A 5,000-nucleotide genomic window follows, 5' to 3' on the forward strand; every position below is an offset into this window, starting at 1 on the left:
TCTTTTCTTGTGGTTATTACGTCCTTACTGTTCATTCTGAGCATTTTTCTTGCAATCATCAGCTAATGGTTTATCTTTTTACTGTTTTTATAACAGACCACATTTAGAATTTACTTCCTAATTCAGAATTATCTGTTCTGTGTCAGTTTCTCCTTTCATCCCTATTAATTCCTCCTTTGCTTTCCTTTAGTTTATTTCATTCTTCTTTGTCTAACCTTTTGAGTCAGATATATGATCACTTACTTTCATGCTTTGTTTTATTGATGTAAGTAAGTCTATAACTAATTTTCTTTTAATGTTCATTAAGCTATATTCTGGAGGTTTTTACTTGTATTTTCATTGTTTTCTTTCCCAGCTGTTCTTCCATTTTTTGTTGGTGTTTGTTTCCTCCTTGAACAAGGAGATAAGTAAGAATATTTAAGGTTTTAGGACAAAAAAGTTCATTTCTTATTTTAAAATTTAATTTCTAGTTATATTACATTTATGTATGGTCAATTTTTGTGAATATAGAGCACTTAAATGTATATATATATTCTTTTCAGAGCACATATTTTAATAAATATTAATCAGATGTAACTTGTTCATTATATCACATTGGCTACGCTATTTTTCAGTCTTTTAATTTGTTTTTGTACTGAGAGAAGTGAATAAAATTATCCTATTTCCAGTGTGTTTCTATTCCACATTTTATTTCCTGGAATATTCATTTTTAAAAACTTCATAATCTGCTCTTTCTTCAAAAGTATTTATGTTCTATATCTACTCATAATTGTATTAGTTAGCATGATTACATATTTTTCTTTTTCTCATTTAATAATGTTAATTGGATTTCATTTTGTCTGACATTACCATTATGAATTTTTTTTGCTTTTTCTTTTCCCACTTTATCTTTGAATATCATTTTTTATTTTATTATTATTATTATTATTATTTTGAGACAGAGTGTCGCTCTGTTGCCCAGGCTGGAGCACAATGATGTGATCTCGGCTCACTGCAACCTCTGCCACCCAGGTTCAGGCGATTCTCCTGCCTCAGCCTCCTGAGTAGCTGGGATTACAGGCACATGCCACCATGCCCAGGTAATTTTTGTACTTTTAGTAGGGACGGGGTTTCACCAGGTTGGCCAGGCAGGTCTCAAACTGACCTCCAGTGATCTGCCCACTTCGGTCTCCCAAAGTGCTGGGACTACAGGCATGAACCACCGCACTTGGCCTTCATATCATTTTAGTTTTAACCATTTGAATCACACGGTATCCTCAGCAGAGGGTTGGGTTTTGTTTTATGAGCAAATATGAAAATATTATTTGTTTTACTTTTGTGAATTAAGCCCATTTATGACAGATATGTTAAGTCTGCATTTTTTATATCTTGTAATGTTATTCTCTGTTTTTTCCTTAAGTCTTTTATTATGTGCCTTGGGTATGTTGTGTGTGCACATGTTTACACATGGCGTGTGTGTGTGCATGTGTGTGTGTATGTTGTGTGTAGTTCTGCTATTTACAAGTTTTATATTTCTTTATAATTATAAGTGATATGTTAGCTTTATTTCTAATGATTTGGACAGTATCTGTGAATTCTAACTATGAGCCATGGTGAAATTGGCTTATGCCCTCTTCTAGCCCTTCTAAACTCTCTTCTCAACCACCCAATTAAATCTTAAGTTTATCTTGCTTGGTGTATTGTTAGTTATGCTAAAATTTCCATTAGAGGATTTGTAAACTTTGTATGTTGTCCTTTGACTGCTGGCTCTTATTGGTGAGGCAACTACTGAGTTTGCTTCCCACCCTCTTCACTACTTTCTGTTTCAGTTTCCTATATCATTATATGACGTTTCCATTCTCCTGTCACCCTAAAATCCATCTTTTGTCATATTAATTTAGTTAAATGTATTCCAAGTTTACAGCCAGTGTTTTTATCACCATTTTTTAGGAATATTTTAGTTGGCTAGAAGCGTGTCTTCTAGAAATTTTGTCAAGAAAAAATATTTCCTGACTTCTTGCATGTTGAAACCCCTTGTTTTGCAACCTTTATTCTAGCAGAACATTTAGCTGAATTTAAAATACTAGACTCACAGTTTATTTTCTCACAAATATTTAATGCAGTTTTACTGTCTTTTCACTATGAATGTGTTGACTGTTGCTATAGAGAAGTGAGAGACTAATTTTTTTCCATTATAAATGACTTGATCTTTTTTGTAAGAGTGCCCAAGTAATTATTTATGCATGAGTTCCATTCTATGCTTCAATATCAACCACTTTAGGAAATGTTTCACCTGGTATAATCTTTCAGAGTGTAAGTTCAAATCATTTTTATTCATTGAATTGTGTCTTTAAGTGTTTTTTTGACGTCACTGTTTCAGTTTTGTTCCTTGGAAATTCAATTTGTGCATATTTTGGTTCTCCTTTTCCTGCGTTTTATGGTTTTTAAAAATTTTTCTCTTTGTTCTTTTTATTTGAAAATGTTTTATTTTGCTTACTCTTCTCATTTCTGTCCTCTCCATCACCTGCTAGGATTTTAGTAAGTTCTATCCTCTCCTTTACTGTTTTATTTCTATGATGACTTAATTTTTTTATTTTACTTCTCTCCTAATTTCCCCCACTTAATGTTGTATTTCCTCCTTTGCCATGTCATCTCTTTCTTGATTTTTAAAATTTTTCTTATTTTGTGGTCTCTCTTTATAAAGTCTATTGTCTACCAAGTTTCTGATTTTGTTTTTTTAATTTAAGCCAAATTTTTTGTCCTAATTTTTATCTCTTCGGGGCAATATTTCCATAGTGAATGTTCTCTATTAGTTATTTTTACTGATCTTTTCTTCATTTTTTTCACACAGTATCCTTCTTCCAATATTATACTGAATCTTTTATATGTCTTGTCATTTAATATGTAGGCTTTCCTCAAACCAAATTCCTATTGGCTGAGGAAAGCCAAAGTAGTTTCTAAAGCTTTCTAGTTTTCACAACACAAATATGCTCTTTTTCTTGCTGCCTTCTCTGCTCCTGCGAACTGAAGTCAATTTACAATGTTTCTGCTGTAAGATGTTTACACTTAAAAGTGTGTGCTTCTCACCTGGAGACAGTGCTTCTGTGTGACAGATCTCATGCCACTGAGGCCTCTGTACTTTCTTCATTCCTTCTCACTTCTTTCTTTTCTCCCCTCATTTTGTTTGTCTCATGTATGTCATTACAGACTAGGAATTATACGTATCTTCACTTTACTGAAAGTTGAGCTTTCTGGGTTCTTTTAAATTTTACTTTTAAATAAATTCCATGAGGAAAAAGAAAATGCAGGCTTTTGCAATCATGATCCCAATAAAAGTCCTGCTTAGTGATTTTAAAATCACCTTTGAAGATTGATATTTTAACCAGAACAAGAGGACACAAAAATTCTCCTCAATGAAATGTTTCTTAGAAAACATATTTCAGCTGTCAACTCGAAACTAAATTAGAAGAGATACTATAAAATGTAAATTTTACTTCAAGACAAAATATACACACAGCCAAACAGGTTTTAGACAAGGTCTAGAAGAGAAAATTTTAGCCATTCATGTAATCCCAATATCGTACCCAAGATGAAACAGAAATGTTTTTCATTATTTACTACATTTAAGCTAGGAATTGGCATCATAGCAAATCACTTGGATGATTGTATCCCACAGATAAAACGTGCTAATACTAGATTTATATTTACTTAAAATGTAACAGTGACTACCAGACTCCTGAAAGAGCTGACAAATCACCTTTCCCATTTCTTCCATCTGTTCACTTCTCAGACTTTTCAGCCTCTTTTGAGATAGTTGGTGATGGAGATGTAGATTCCATCTTCTCAGGTACTCTCGACCACGTGCAATGCTCATGCATCACTACACATACACTCTCCTTCCTCCAGAAAAATTAATATCACACAGATCTCTATCCACCTTCAGTAGAAACCCTTGCCTATTTTCAGAAATGTGTAGAAAATGACTGGATGAAATCTCACTAGAGTTAATATTGGCAAACTGCTCAGTCAGACAATTTTTGTGTTGAGTGGGAGAGGGCAGGGTTATCTTCTCTTACCTCTCTCTCCCTCTTGCTCTTGACAGATGATACATAGTTAGTTAGCTAGCTAGGTAGATATCCACACTATGCCTGTAGAATATTTTGTGATGAAAATATCCATTTGGTGAAATATCTCTGATGTCACATGGACAGTTGACCTTTGTCTTCCATTGTTACTATCTTGTTTCTTATTTTATCTCAATAAATTTTACTTTTCTACTCAAAGTTTCACACTTCAAGTCTTCTCTTCCCGTATTTCCTGCACTACTCTTACATAGTGGAATATTGTGAAAAAAGAATAGACCATATAAAAAAGTCTAACAGTTACTTACCTGTGGTGCTGGCCTGGCTCATGTCCTCTTCTCTGGGCCTAGCTTGTCATCATAGTTGCTCCTACCTGCCCATTAAGGAGTGGAACTCATGGCCTACGAGTCGACAGCATCATCCCTCCAGGCCTGCTGAGCCAGGCTAGAGATGGCTGAAACCAGAGTGGACTGTGGGTGCAAGCCAGAGAACTTTGTTTGTTCCTTCAATAATTTGGAATAGGGACTCAAAAACTACAGCTAGTCCATTAGTCATTTAAACTGAGAGGCTCCACAAATCTGAGTTTGGGGCAACAAGATTTATGAAAAGAATAAAAAGTTAAGAAAAAAGAGAGAGAGAGAACGCAGAAGTGAATAATGAAACCCAGGTGAGAGATCAGGTTTCTGAGAGAAACAGGGCAAGAAGGAACAAGTGCCTCACTATCAGATTTCATGAGTCCAAGCCCACTTTTTGATGCTGGGATCTGTAAGTTTGCCAATTAATTATTCTTTCAAGTTTCCCATTTTTGCTTAAACTAATTTCACTAAACCTGTGTTTTGTAAAGCAACAGTTCTATAATTAAATACACACATTCTTTAAATTAGGGCAACATGAAAATACTTGTCAAAAAAGCAATGATAAAAGCAACAGGAATATTTG

This window comes from Homo sapiens, chromosome 7, assembly GCF_000001405.40.
Source record: "Homo sapiens chromosome 7, GRCh38.p14 Primary Assembly".
Taxonomy (NCBI): domain Eukaryota; kingdom Metazoa; phylum Chordata; class Mammalia; order Primates; family Hominidae; genus Homo; species Homo sapiens.